The 15,772-nt window shown below is 40.6% G+C and overlaps 1 protein-coding gene across 25 annotated transcripts in view; it reads right to left on the bottom strand.

Annotated features, from left to right (window-relative positions):
• FTO (FTO alpha-ketoglutarate dependent dioxygenase) overlaps window positions 1-15,772 on the bottom strand; it is a 417,979-nt gene that overhangs the window by 381,152 nt on the left and 21,055 nt on the right. The gene's annotated exons all lie outside the window — the stretch shown is intronic.

Below are 15,772 nucleotides of genomic sequence, written 5' to 3'. Positions count from 1 at the left end.
CTGGGGTGTGCAGGGGAGAGAGAAAAGCTTCTTGTGTGGTATTGGGACATTGAAATGTGCTGAAAAAGCCACAGACCTGGTTCCCACCAGATCATCAATAAAAACTGTCAACTGAGCCAGAGATAACATTTTCAGTGCCCCTAAACTGGAAGGTAATCATGTAGCTATTTGAAAGGAAGCATTACAAGATGAAGAATTGAAACAGATGGGGAGAACCTACTGTAAAATGTGCATGTTTTCCCTCAAAAAATAAGATTATGACACACTGAGCAGAAAGGCAAGAAAAACCAGAAAATATTCTATCAGCACATTTTCAATCCTGTATGCACATTACAAGTTTCATATTTTCAGAAAATATTTTCTTCACTTAGCAGGAACGTAACATGAAGATACAAGTTAGAAAATTCTAATTTGCAACTGTTTTCAAAATATACGTAAAATTTTTAGTACGATAAAACAGATGTAACTGATGACATCCAGTCACTATGTCCTGCTCTTTAAAAAAAATACACTCTACACCTACCCAGGTAACTACACATGTAATATTCAGCTTTGTGGGCACAATGTCACAAAGCCACTCTAGCTGTCAGCATTCTTGTAGAAAAACAATAGGACAGGGAAAACACAAGTTCTGGTGCTTCTTGTTAACATTTACCATATGATCCTAGGGTTACAGATGGCACTGCTAAATATTCATGTCAGAATAACAAGGAAGACACAGCCTTCTAATTTTGAAAAGGCTATACATAAAGTATGGATAAAAGTCAACATGGTTATCTTAATTACTTTAAAACAAGTGACTTCCAGTTTGCCTCGTGGTACTTCTATTCTTGTTCCCTCTATAGATCTATGATGGCTCCTTGGGAGATCAAACTTTATACTGCTTCTATTTTTTAAGTGTTTTTAAGTACATGCAAATATTTTTGAAGACAATATAACTATTACAATCACTAAAAAATAGGCATCCTCAGAGTAATCATTTCAAACACTTTAAAATGGTTCATTTTATATTAGGAGAATTATACCTCAATGATTAAAAAAAAACACAGACAAAAAAGATACAATCATACTAATTGTCTTTTAACGTGGGAGTGGGAAATATGATCTCCAACATCAAACATACTTTAGTGTTTGATTCAAAAACTTTTAAATTACTTTTGGATAATCTGTGGTTTTGAATTATCCACACCACTTCTTTCTTTCCATTCACACATATATGAGGCATCTCATTTAATCTGTCTGTTGCCTTGGGGTTTTCATCTAAAAAGTAATAGTAGGCCAGGCACAGTGGCTCACACCTGTAATCCCAGCACTTTGGGAGGCCAAGGCGGGCGGATCACAAGGTCAGGAGATCAAGACCATCCTGGCTAACACGGTAAAACCCCATCTCTACTAAAAATAGAAAAAAAAAAAAAAAACAGCCAGGTGTGGTGGCGGGCGCCTATAGTCCCAGCTACTGGGGAGGCTGAAGCAGGAGAATGGTGTGAACCCAGGAGGCAGAGCTTGCAGTGAGCCGACATCGTGCCATTGCACTCCAGCCTGGGCGACAGAGCGAGACTCCGTCTCAAATAAATAAATAAATAAATAGTAATAGTAAGAATATTTTTCTTTGGCTAATAGAATTATAAGAATCAAATGAGAAAGATTAAAAAGACAGACAAGGGCCAGATTGCGATGGCTCACACTTGTAATCCCAGCAGTTTGGGCAGCCGAGGCTGGAGGATCACTTGAGCCCAGGAGTTTGAGACCAGTTTGGGCAACATATGGGGAGACCCTATCTCTACAAAAAATTTTTTAAAAGCACACCTGTGGTTACAGCTACTCAGGAGGCTGAGGTGGAAAGACTGCTTGAGCCCCGGAGGTTGAGGCTCCAGTGAATCATGATCTTGCCACTGCACTCCAGCCTGGGTGACAGAGTGAGACCCTATCTCAAAAAAAAAATTTTTTTTAAATAGGCAATAACAAGTATTGGCAAAGATGTAGAGAAACTGGAACTCTAATACACTGCCAGTGGGAATGTGACATGGTGTTATATAGACAATAACAAGTGTTGGCAAGGGTGTAGAGAAAATGGAACTCTAATACATTTCTAGTGGGAATGTCACTCTGGAAAACAGTTTGGCAGTTCCTCAAAAACTGCCAAACATAGACTTACCATATGACCCAGCAATTCCACTTCCAGGTATATGCTCAAGAGAAATGAAAACATATGGCCACACAAAAACCTCCTTACAAATGTTTATAGAAGCGTTTTTCATAATAGCCAAAAAGTGGAAACAACCCAATGTCCATCAACTAATGAATGAGATAACGTGGGATGTGTCCATATAATGGAATATTATTCAGCCATAAAAATAAATAAAGTATTGCCTGTAATCCGTGCACTTTGGGAGGCCGAGGAGGGAGGACTGCCTGACACCAGGAGTTCAAGAACAGCCTAGGCAACATAGCCAGACCTCATCTCTATAAAAAGTTAAAAGAAATTCATGTCTGTAATCCCAACACTTTGGGAAGCTGAGGTGGGCAGATCACCTGAGGTGGGGAGTTCGAGACCAGCCTGACCAACATGGAGAAACCCCGTCTCTACTAAAAATACAAAATTAGCTGGGCGTGGTGGCGCATGCTTGTAATCCCAGCTACCCGGAAGGCTGAGGCAGAATCGCTTGAACCCAGGAGGCGGAGGTTGCTGTGAGCTGAGATCACGCCATTGCACTCCAGCCTGGGCAACAAGAGCAAAACTCCATCTCAAAAAAAAAAAAAAAAAGCTACGATTGTGCAACTGCATTCTAACCTGGGTGACAGAGCGAAACCTTGTCTCAAAAAAGAAAAAAAAGAAAGAAAGAACTTATACATTCTACAACATAGATGAACCTTGAAAACATCATGCTAAGTGGAAGAAGCCAGTCACAAAGACCACACACGGTATGATTCCATTTATATGATGTAAGTTATATCTCAATAACGCTATTTTTAAAAGACTAGTCATCTTTAATTGGGTAGGCTGGGGGGAGGAGTAGAGTGAAGGGTACATACTCTCTCGTCATAAAGTTAATCTAAGGGAGCCAATAAACATGTTTCCCAAGAGGGCACTATACAGGCAAAATAAGTGATGGCTCATATTACTGCTGGGTGACAAGGAGCATCCTTCTTACATCCACATATGCACAGTCTTGCATTGCAGAATGGTATTTCAGACAACAACGGACCGCATATACAACAGTACTTCCATAAGATTACAATAATGTATTTTGACTGCACCTTTTATATGTTTAGATACACAAATACTTACCATTGTGCTACAATTGCCTACAGTATTCAGTACAGTAATGTATAGCAAGTTACTTGTATAGCAAGTTACTGTACGAAACAGCAACTGTACTGATGCAGTAGAGAATAGGCTATACCATATCTAGGTTTGTGTAAGTGCACTCTATGACGTTCACATGATGAAACTGCCTAACAATGCATTTCTCAGAATGTATCCTTGTCATTAAGCAATGCATGATTGTATATGTGTGTATGTATATAGAGATATATACACACTTATTCATGAATCTCCTTCCCACAGATAAATATATAAAATGTGTCCACCATGCAAAATTAAAAACATACTCTCAGGACATCAATCAACCCTTCCATAAGTATTATGATAGGCCCTCTGTTAGCAGAAACTGCACTGTGCTCTGCAGAAACAGGCGCACACAGGGTTCCTGCCTTCCAAGGACTCACCATCAAAGAGACACCAAGTATACCAACGCAATGGCCAAGTACAAAGTGACCAGAAGCTGAAGTGATAAATGGGCACAATGGAAGGGAAGGATTTGCAGAGGCAGAAACTTTAGAGCTAAATCTTAAAAAGGAGTTCCCCCACATAAATCTGGGGGAGGGGAATGAGTATGGAAGACAGCATCCCTGACAAACTACACAGCAAATAGATGGAGCTGGTAGCGGGGAGATGGAAAGTGTCAGAACTGGGAGGAGACGCTGGTTACGTCAGATAGTGCTCTGGAAACCTGTGGCACTTGGCCTTTTATCCTACAGCCAAAAGGGATACATTTAAGACCTACATTGAATCAAAGTCAAACCAGAGTTAAATAATAAGAAAAACCACTTGTCAGCAATGTGAAACAGAAATTGGCAAAAAGAGAGGATGTTGGGGAGAAGGGAAAAATAGAGGCAAGAACATTAGTTCTGAGACTATTGCAACTGTGCTGGAAGGAGGTATTTTGAGACACCCTAAACTTAAGCAGAGGCAGTGGAAATGAGAAGGAGGGGTCAGATTTCAGATCTGCTGACAGATTGAAAGACTTGGTGAGTGACAGAAGATAGGTGACAGAAAGGAAGGATGACCCCGAGATTTCCAGAGAGAACTCGATATTGACTTGGGTGAGGGCAGAAACTACAGATTGATGGTGGAGCTTTTTTTTTTTTTTTAATTATACTTTAAGTCCTAGGGTACATGTGCACAACGTGCAGGTTTGAGCATTTCAAAGACACTAAGATAGGAGTTTGACCTGGTTTAGCCCAAAATAGGAGAGTACAGAAGAACACAGATGACGTACCTCGGTACGATACAGGGTTCTCAGTACAATGCAGAGGACAGATTCAGGAGCCAGATGTTCAGCCTATATTCAAACCCTCAACTCTACCAGCTGCTAGCTGGAGCAGTTTGAACACATTACTTAACCTCTCCATCCATAAAATGGACATAATAATAATAAGACCTATTCATATGGTTAACATGTATTAAAAAATTATTAGTGCCATAAGAGCTTGCTATTTGTATTATGGCATCTACACAGTGATATATTATCTCCATTTTATAGAGTAAGAAACTAAAGCAGAGGCAGTAAGAAGGAGAAGGAAGGGTCAGATTTTAGAGCTGCTAACAGACAGAAAGACTTGGTGACTGAAGATAGAAGGTGACAGAAAGGAAGGATGACCCCAAGATTTCCAAAGAGGATTCAATATTGACTTAGGTGAAAGTAGAAATATGAACTGATGGTAGAGTATTTCAAAGATACCTTCAGAGAAACCCTGTTCCTTACACAGATAGATTGAGGCAGAAAGCTTATCCAACTAGGCTTCAAAGACAATGCCATTTACACTCTGCTATGCTGCTTCCTGAGCTGCTGCTGGAATTACTCACTCCGTGAAGCACATAAAATTCTCAAGTTGCCACAGTTTCCACATTAAGAGCAGATTTGTTTTTGCTTGGATTTCCAAGAATACCTAAAAAAGGAGGGTGATCAACTCATCATTTTCTGAGATTAGCTGAATCCTGTGTCTCTGGAGTCAGCGAGGATGTAGCCTCCTCCAAGAGGCCCTCCCTGACTCTCCGAGTCCATGTTAGCTGATTTGCATTCACCGCACAGCAAACTGTGCCTTCCCCATATCTACTGAAACTACTTCCTAATCTCTCAGTCCTACTAGACTATCAACCCTATGAGTTCAGAGACTGTCCATCTTATTCACTGCAGTATCTCCTGTGTCTAGCAATAACCTAGAACACTGTCAGTGCTAATTAAATGTATTGGATGGATAATTCAAAGTTCCAATTCTGGTCTTAAATGTATTTGTCTCAAAGGGTTATATTACATGGTAACAGAGGCCATATCCCTTGGCCAGTGTGGAACAAAAGATAAAAATCTCATTTCCAGTCACACATTAATTGAGTATGGCAGAAGCCATTGGCTGCCTACTCAACAGCTATTCATTCTGCTTCCCTGCTAACAGGGGCAGCCATGAGCCCAGTTCCAAGGAATGGATCATGAGCTCTCTAAGCCAAGCGTAGGAATCGCATTCCCTTTTGCCAGACACTTCTTTTCCCAGTCTCCCTTGCAACTAGGAATGACCAACAAATCCAGATCTGGCCAATAGGACATAATAAGGAGTGTGCTAGGGGACTTACAGGAAGGATTTCCCTCCTAATATAAAAACTCTCTTTTATCTTCCCATCCTCTTCTTCCTACCCTGAACACAGTTACATGAGGACATGATACCTGGCACTGTTATAACCCAGTGATCACTAGGTTACAAGTCAAAAGACGAAAAAGCCAACGTGCTGAAGAATGGCAGAGCAGAAAACTGGAAAGTACCTGCATTTGACTGTATCATTAAGCCACTGTTCCATGAGAACTTCCTCCTTCCAGACAGCTTATGATGTGGGAAAAGTCATGTCATTACTGTTTAATCCACTGTTACATGGAAATTCTGTTACTTGCAGCCAACATTTTTCAAACTTATATATTGAGCAAAAAGGCACAAAACTCTTTCATGTGATATTGGCCACCCAACCACAGATGTAGACATTTGGGATCTGCAATCAGGTGAACGCTATACTTTTCTATTCTAGGGGAAGAGAACTATCGTTTTTGAAACATTAAGATTCTGTACATCATCAGAGCATGTCTGTTCCTTTCAAATTTTGTACAGAGAGTTTATAACATTCAGAACAGAAATGACAGTGCTAGGAATCTAAATTACTTCCTTTAAAGAAAAGAGTGAATCTCTTATTCATAAAAAAAACCAAATAATAGACCAGAAATCCAGAATCTGAAGTTGTTCTATCACCTAGCTTCTTGACCACTCCCAAATTATACTAACAAGTGCAAAACTTCATGTCTTAAGAAAAAAGAAAAGGTCTGGCAGAGAATTTCCTTAATGGATTTGACCTGGGTAATACCATTAACCCAAGAAATGCTTTTTTGGTACTTTTCCATTCTACTTACTTTGTAAATACGTTTTGTCATGAGTTGATTCAAATGAGAGTTGAATTTCTACAAATACCCTCAATTTGTAAAATGTGTGTGCTTGTGTGCATAATTTGTAGAATTGTGTACTTTAGTGAAGTTTTGTTGTGTTATTGTTTCTTGTTTTATATCTTCCTTCCAGTCAGTTTTCCATTAATTTAAACCTCTTTTTATTCTGGCTAAAGTAAGTTACATTTTAAGATTTAAAAATTCTAGAGGAAATCCTTATATAATGTTCTTTATAATAACTCAAGAGTGTTGCCATGGTAGACATGAGACAAACTCAAATCTTTTTCTGAGACACCTAGAAATGTCACATATAACCTTTTTTAATGTTATCTCTGTATAATTCATATTTCAAGATGACAGGTTAAACCACACAATTACTCTCTTAAAAAAGCCTTAAATTATATCGACCATCTCAAAATAACTACAACTTTTTCCCAGAGTTATCAGACTCTGGTCTCAAAGCCAAGTAAGTAAATAAACTTAACTGAGAAGAATCCTCCTTCATTGAGGAGTGGGTAATTACGTCCCTAATTTTCCGTGTTGATATCTCCTCAGAGCCTATCAACTGTACAGGTCGCCCTGTATTCAGCTCATCTTCTTCTTCTTTTTTATTTTTTCTTTTTTTGGAGACGGAGTTTTGCTCTTGTTACCCAGGCTGGAATGCAGTTGTGCGATCTCGGCTCACTGCAACCTCCGCCTCTCAGGTTCAAGTGATTCTCATGCCTCAACCTCCCGAGTAGCTGAGATTACAGGCACCCACCACCACACCTGGCTAATTTTTCGTATCTTTAGTAGAGACAGGGGTTTCGCCATGTTTGGCAGGCTAGTCTCGAACTCCTGACCTCAGGTGATCCTCCCGCCTCGGCCTCCCAAAGTGCTGGGATAACAGGCGTGAGCCACTGTGCCTGGCCTCAGTTCATCTTTAGAAAAGTCAGCCAAGCCATGTCAGAGATCTTGGCTCTAAACAAATATAGGTTAAATTTAAAAAGACAGAAAAGGGGGGCTCCCTCTATGGTTTGAGGTCTTAAGGCTCTGCCAATAGATGGCTACAGGGCTGGGATTTAAGGCCCTTCGTGGCTTCACATGTCTCACATGACACCAGATTCCCTTTTTTCCTTACTCATTCATTCCTTCCCTGATGCCAGATTCCTTCTTTTCCTTACTCATTCATTCCTTCCCCTGCTACAATGCTCCTTTTTCCCCCTCTTCTTAGCACATTTCATCAGAAGCCAAAAACGTCAAACATTTCCATGGGTAAACAGAAATCTGCTGGCCTTTCCACCACCCCCCTCCTTTATGCCTACTGTTATTATGAGCGGTAACAATGTAATCTGCCTCAGGCACCTCTCTCCATCCATGCCAAGCAGGTCATTCTCCTTTTATCAGAAGGGAAAGTGGGTCATCACATTTTAGTGCATGTTGACACGACTGCTAATAAAAGCAAGATAAGAAGTTCCTGCCCTTAAGGTGCCTTAACCTCTACTTTGCCTAAAAGATACTTCACAGTTCCCACACTGAAGTAGGAACTGGAAAGTGACTTGATACCACATTTCCTTAACCATACAGAGGTGAAGGAGGTAACAGGATATTTGTAAAGTGCAGTAACAACTCCTAATTCAGGAGGTTACTCCTCTCTCATTCGGGTTAGCAACATGGTTCCTTTAAGAAGACCACAATGGGCCAGGCATGGTGGCTCATGCTTGTAATCCCAGCACTTTGGGAGGCCAACACAGGTGGATCACGAGGTCAGGAGATCGAGACCATGCTGGCTAACATGGTGAAACCCTGTCTCTACTAAAAATACAAAAAGAAATTAGCCGGGCGTGGTGGCGGGCGCCTGTAGTCCCAGCTACTCAGGAGGCTGAGGCAGGAGAATGGCATGAAGCCCGGAGGCAGAGCTTGCAGTGAGCCGGGATCGCACCACTGCACTCCAGCCTGGGCGACAGAGCGAGACTCCGTCTCAAAAAAAAAAAAAAAAAAAAAAAAATAAGGCCACAATGAGGGCTGGGGCGCGGTGGCTCACGCCTGTAATCCCAGCACTTTGGGAGGCCGAGGTGGGCGGTTTATCTAAGGTTAGGAGTTTGAGACCAGCCGGGCCAACATGGTGAAACCCTGTCTCTACAAAAAGTACAAACAGCCTGTAGTCCCAGCTACTCGGGAGGCTGAGGCAGGAGAATGGCGTGAACCCAGGAGGAGGAGCTTGCAGTGAGCCGAGATAGTGCCACTGCAGTCCAGCCTGGGCAAAAGAGGGAGACTCCGTCTCAAAAAAAAAAAAAAAAAGTACAAACATTAGTTGGGCGTGGTGGCGCAGGCCTGTAGTCCTGTAGTCCCAGCTACTCGGGAGGCTGAGGCATGAGAATCACTTGAACCCGGCAGGCGGAGGTTGCAGTGAGCCGATATGCCACCGCACTCCAGCCTGGGCTACAGAGTGAGACTCCATGTCAAAAAATTTAAATTAAATTAAATTAAATTTTAAAAAAAGAAGGTAACAATGAACTAGGAGGCTGACATCTCAAACAACAGAGGCATGAACAAGATAATTCCCTTTTGAATCATGTGTCTGAAAATGATAGTAGTAAACATAGAGACCTACCAAGTGGCTTTCAAACTTTTCAAATTTGGAAGTATTAATATGAAGGAACTTTTATCCAAAAGTATAAACAAATACATCAACAGAAGCTAAGCTGTTCTCAGGCCCCCACCTGGAGAAGCAGATCCCTATAGGTAGCCAGGACACAGTCTGAAAATCACTAAACCACAGCCTACACACCATTTGAGAAGTTCAAAACTAGATTTTGTTCTTCCTTTCCTTCTATCTCTTTCTTCTCTTTATGCCCATTACTGAACTCTCCAATGTCCTCTCAAATATAAAATTCCCAGTTAGATCCCAAATTCACATACAAGTAATCTAAGAAACACATTCTAATGCAGGATCCTTTTTACAACCTATCTCTACAAACATCTGGACACCTTTTCCATAAGGCAACTTGGCAATATGCATCAAGAGCCTTAAAAAATCCCTATCTTTAACTCCGTTGTTCTGTTTCTAGGAATTTATTCATTTAAAAATGCACATACAAATGTTTAAACCCACTGACTCAACACAGCATTATTTATGCTGATAAAATAAATGAAACAAGCTAATTGGTCAACAATAGAGGAAACTATTTAAATAAATTATTCTATTCATATGACAAATCTACTGTGGTTTGGCATTAAATTGCTTCTAATAGGCTGGGCTCGGTGGCTCATGCCTGTAATCCAAGCACTTTGGGAGGCCAAGGCAGGCAGATCGCTTGAGCCCAGGAGTTCAAGACCAACCTGGGCAATAATAGCGAAACCAAGTCTCTACTAAAAATACAAAAAATTAGCCGGGCATGGTGGTGCACACCTGTAGTCCCAGCTACTCACGAGGCTGTGTTGGGAGGATCACCTGAGCCTGGGAAGTTGAGGCTGCAGTGAGCCATGATCGTGCCACTGCACTTCAGCCTAGGCAAGGAGAGTGAGACCCTGTCTCAAAAAAAAAAGCCTTCTAAAATAATGAAAACTACAAAAAAAATCATGACAATGCTATACAGTATAATTGGAAAAATGTAGAGATAAATGGATGGATAGAAAAAATATGAAATTTACTTACTGAATTGAAATACAAAATTTAATACTATCTTCTTTGAAAAAAGATACATCACATGTTGGATTATAGAAAAAAAAAGCAACATAAAAGTTTATCTGAAGCTAACTTGCTCAGTGACACTATATCCTGGTGTTCTTGGGAAGTTAGTATATATAATATTTCTATTAGTTTCTAATGTTTTCATGCATCACTCTCCTTTCAATATGATATTTATTTAAATTAGGCCTAAGGAAAGAAGTCTCTCTATCAATCATGGAATATTTTGACTGAAGAGCTCTTCAAAATGTATACTGTCCAATCTGATTATATCTACATTTGAAGTCCATGATAAATCTATCCCTAAATATTTCTAAAGATTAGGCTATCACAGGTGACAGTTTATAAAGTGCTTGTTGTATGCCAGACACTCAGCCAGATATTGCAATTACAAGAGAGGAATAAAAGCGCAGTTCTTGCCTTCAAAGAGCTCAGGGACTGAGAAAGTAATGGACAAACAGCTATAGTGAGGGGAAAGCTAAGGAAGTGTACACAACATTGAGGATGGCAGAATCACAGAAGTCTCAGAAGAGGTGGCATTTGTGGACATTGTTGAAAGATACATCATTCTCTAGGTGCCAATGAGAAGGGAGGAGAAGAGTCTAGAAAGAGAAAAGGACAGAGGCATATGTTCAGGGGTCACCACTTTCCAACAGTAGGAGTATAAGGTATAAATTATGGGGGTGAAAGCTGGGGGTTGGGGGCGTGGTTACCAGCTGACAATAAATAAGGCTGAAAAAACAGGAACCTATACAGCAAGCCCAGGAGTCTGAATTTTAACATGCAGCCAGTGGCAAATCTCCACGAAATTGTGAACAGTGGAGTGACACGGTCATTTTACTTTTTTTTTCCCCCCGATACGGAGTCTCAGTCTGTCACGCAGGCTGGAGTGCAGTGGCGAGATCTCCACCTCCCAGGTTCAAGCCTGCCTCTGCCTCCCGAGTAGCTAGAATACAGGCACGCACCACCAAGCCCAGCTAATTTTTTGTATTTTAATACAGACAGGGTTTCACCATGTTGGCCAGGATGGTCTCCATCTCCTGACCTTGTGATCTGCCCACCTCGGCCTCCCAAAGTGCTAGGATTACAGGCATGAGCCACGGCTCCTGGCCCATTTTACATTTTTTAAGATGGCAAGGTAGAAGTGGGTGGAATGGAAACAGGCCAAGAGCCTACGGAAATCTAAAGGGGCTGAACACAGCAGTGGCCTGAAGATGAAGAGATGAAAGAAGGAAAGACATTAGGACAAAGGTGACTAACTGGATGAGGAGCAGGAGACAGAAGTGCAGCCTCCTGGCCAGGCACAGTGGCTCACACCTGTAATCCTAGCACTTTGGGAGGCCAAGGTGGGCGGATCACTTGAGGTCGGGAGTTCGAGACCAGCCTGGCCAACATGGTGAAACCCTGTCTCTACTAAAAATACAAAAAAAAAAACCAGTCATGATGGTGGGCATCTGTAGTCCCAGCTACTTGGAGGCTGAGGCAGGAGAATCACTTGAACCCAGGAGGCAGATGTTGCTATAAGCCAAGATCACACCACTGCACTTCAGTCTGGGTGACAGAGCGAGACTCCCTGACAAAAAAAAAAAAAAAAGAAGTATGGTCCCCTTTTGTCTGGAAGACTGTCCCCATCTTCCCAGGGCCCTCTCCTTCCTTCAAACAGTTCTCTGCTGGAAAGAACTCTACAGTGAAAGCTCTTCTGTGACCAACCAAAATAACTCTTTATCCTCTTACACTAATTTTTTAATAGTATTTAGAACTATCAAAAAGTCATTATTTGTTTGTTTATTTTTTGTCTCTCTCTCCAGATACCTAATGATAGCCAAATGATACCTATCTAGTTCATGGCTGTATCCTAGAACTTAGACCAGGGCCTGGCACATAGTAGGAGCTCTATAAATATCTGTTGAGTGAATGAATGAATGGAAGGAAGGGAAGGAGAAAAAAGGAAGGCAGGCAGCCTACTCAGATTGGTAGTTTGAGTGCTTGACTAAAACGTGATGTCATAAGCAAGAATCAGAACTATGGGAGAAGAAAAGAGTTGGAACACAACGATTGACTGTGTCAGGCTCTGGAATGTTTATTCAGCTCAAGTATTGTCTTCTGACTTTTTTTTTTAAGAGACAGGGTCTAGCACTGTTGCCCAGGCTGGAGTGCAATGGCGTGATCATAGCTCACTGTAACCTCAAACTCCTGGGCTCAAGGGATCCCCCTGCCTCAGCCTCCCAAGTAGCTAGGACTACAGGTGCACACCACCACACCTGACTAATTTTTTAATTTCATGTAGAGACAGGGTCTCACTATGTTACCCAGGCTGGTGTAGAACTTCCAGCCTCAAATCCTCCCACCTCAGCCCCCCAAAGCACTGGAATTACAGGCATGAACCACTGTACCTGGCCCCTTACTACTGTTTGATGTCTTTCCTGCTAACACTGGATGTAAAAGAAAAGGATAAAAAGGAGATCAGGGAATGCCTACTGAGTGACTACAGTACTTAACAAAAGCAAGTACTTTACAAACAGTACCTCCTTCCATCCTCACCATATTAGTATCTCTATTTTTCCATATGAAGAACTGAGACTAAGGGGTTCAGTGACTTACACACAGTGACACTGCTGGAAAATGGCAGAAGCAAAACTAAAACTCAGGTCTCGTGACTCCCACACCATCCACTGCACAATGTTAGAAGCAAACCAACACTTTCCATACACTTCCAGAATACTGTTAGGTTCATCCTCTTCCACTTCAAGATGCTTTTCAAACCAAAGTTTCAAATTTACAAGAAAAAAAATGGCTTTTGCTGTCATATTTTTCTATGTCTAAAAAATAAATTGCATAAGACTGACCTGTTAAGTTTCTAAGACTTGATCAGATCACTTAAAATTCCAGTTTGAACCCTACCATGTGGAAAAAAGAGTCTTAAATGAGATAGTAATCATACATCCAAAATCATCCCTTTCATTCGCAGTCACATACACAGACGTCTGCATCCCTTTGCAACACTACATAGAGACCAAAGTAAACGTTTTATCCTGTGAGCTAACACCAGGCACCACTGGACTAGCATCTAGTCCCTTAAACTAACAGCTGAAAGCTGATAGAATATGCCAGACAAGTCAGAGAATTTAGCCAGCAGAGCTGCTCAGATTTAAATTGTGCTATTTGAAACTTAGACCACTTGAGACAACAGTTCACTTTTCTCACTGGAGCAACAGATTCAACCTCTTGGCCCTGTGAAAGTCATCTGAATATATTTAGCCAAAAGAAAAATAAAAAGAGAAAGAGAGAAAGAAAGAAAGAAAAGAAGAGGGGAAACTTCTTTCTCCTGATTGAAGATATATTCAGCACTCTGATTTTTTTATGCACATTTGATCATCCTGTTGACAGCCTTGGAAGTTAAGTAATATGGACTGCTGCACAGAGGTTTCAAACCTTGATGGAAACCAATGGCAGGCTCCTTTTGACAGTCAAATAATGACAAGCATGTTGCAGGCCAATGCCTGTCATTCACCAACATCTCCAACCTGCTCCAACTGCTGCACAGTGACTAAGTGGAGGGTCAGAGGTTAAGCTCCAAGAAGCCAGCAATGAAGGGCAACTGTCATGCACCACTGCCTATTGTGAAGCAGCAAGGAGTGGCTGTCTCCTTCTGAACATGCAAAATGTTCTCATTCTGTCCAGGCAGAGACACATCTGAAGGTCCTAAATGAGACCATTGCCAATTCATGAAGCTCCAAACTGACAGCATGCCATTCAAGCTGTCTCAAATTTGACTTTTTTTCCTATTTCAAATCACAAATGCATGCAAAGTATACCGTTAAGCATAACTCCTCAGCCATGGTTTTAAGCATGCTCTGCTTTTAGACACAGAGGTAGCCTCAGACACATACACATTCTCAGATCCTAAAAAAATGAAAGAAAATGCAAAGTTAATTTATTCTTCTTTAGGGAGTTTCTAATTCAAAATGGCACAGAAAAAAACTGGATACAGATTTTCTAGGAAAGTTCCTACATGTCTACAAAACAAAATAATCTTTAAGAAGGACGAGTTTCAACATAATATAACCATACTATTATGAGAACTGTGAATATTAGTGTGTGTATATAGAATTTTATTTAATGAAAAATAATGTAACTTTAGGTACACAGTAGTTCATCGACACGTTTTATATTTTTTTAGAGTGTTTATAAAATCGTAGTCCACAAATGATTCAGAGTCCAGTATATGACACAAATACCTCCTTATACAATTCTAAGTTCGGGCTCTTATTGCTTTTCTATGTAGTAGAAATACATGATTGTATTAAGATGTGTGTGCATTAACATATAACCTGTAAAGAGGTTTCTTCTTTATCTTAATTGAGTAAAAAGAAATGTCTTATCTCATTTACAGGCCACATGATTGTCATTAAGTGACTAGCTAGGATCAAGAATTAAGTTGGACAGGTCTTCTTACAGCCTTTTCATCAACAATAGGATTTCTAAGAAACAGAGCCTTAAGTGGCCCTCATCAGACACAGCCTTTAGAGGTTTGAACTTGAAAATGATTTTATATAAAAGTGTGGGTCTACACCAGAGGCAACACTAGTCACTCTTTAATTCCTGATCACTACCACCCACCCATCCTTAAGTGAGCCTGGGGAGAGGAAATAACCCATCATCTACAAGGAACAAAGCCAAGACATCCCACTATCAAAGCTTATATGAACAAAGGTCAACTAATTGCCCTATTCTCTACCAACAAGAATATAGCTAGTTTCTAATATATATCTGCAGACAGCAAAACATAAATTATTTTAAGTACTATATGAGCATGTAGCAACCTTCCACTCTTAGGCAAAAAATAGAAATTATGGTGCATAAATCCAGATTACTACATATAGTTTTGATCCAGAAAAATATTCCAAGCCATAAGTACACACTCACATACTATTTGGATAGCTGACCAAATAATGCCGTTCACAATGAAGATCATTCTACAATACAAAAGACTTGAGAAAGATTTGAATATGAAGTGACTTCTCTTTCCAGCAGCATAATCTGAGTGGGAAAATTCCTTATCTAATATTCAGGCATATATGTACATAAAATCACAAAGACTGAATTGAGAGACAGGAACATCTTTCCCAAATCCTGTATTTAGACCTGAGTTGCAAACCTCACAGTATAACGTGAACTAATACAGGAAAGATAAAAGAAAGTTCTCCTTCAGACACCACAGGACAAATGAAAAGGAAGTACTCCTGTAGACATCACAAAGTACTAATGGTACTCATATTCCTAAAGGATAATACAGAACAAAAGTTAAAATGACTTCAAAAACAGCTTAGCTGATTAATCA

Source organism: Homo sapiens, chromosome 16 (assembly GCF_000001405.40).
Source record: "Homo sapiens chromosome 16, GRCh38.p14 Primary Assembly".
Taxonomy (NCBI): Eukaryota; Metazoa; Chordata; class Mammalia; order Primates; family Hominidae; genus Homo; species Homo sapiens.
Note: the sequence above shows the minus strand (reverse complement) of the source record. Positions and strands in the feature narration are given on the sequence as shown.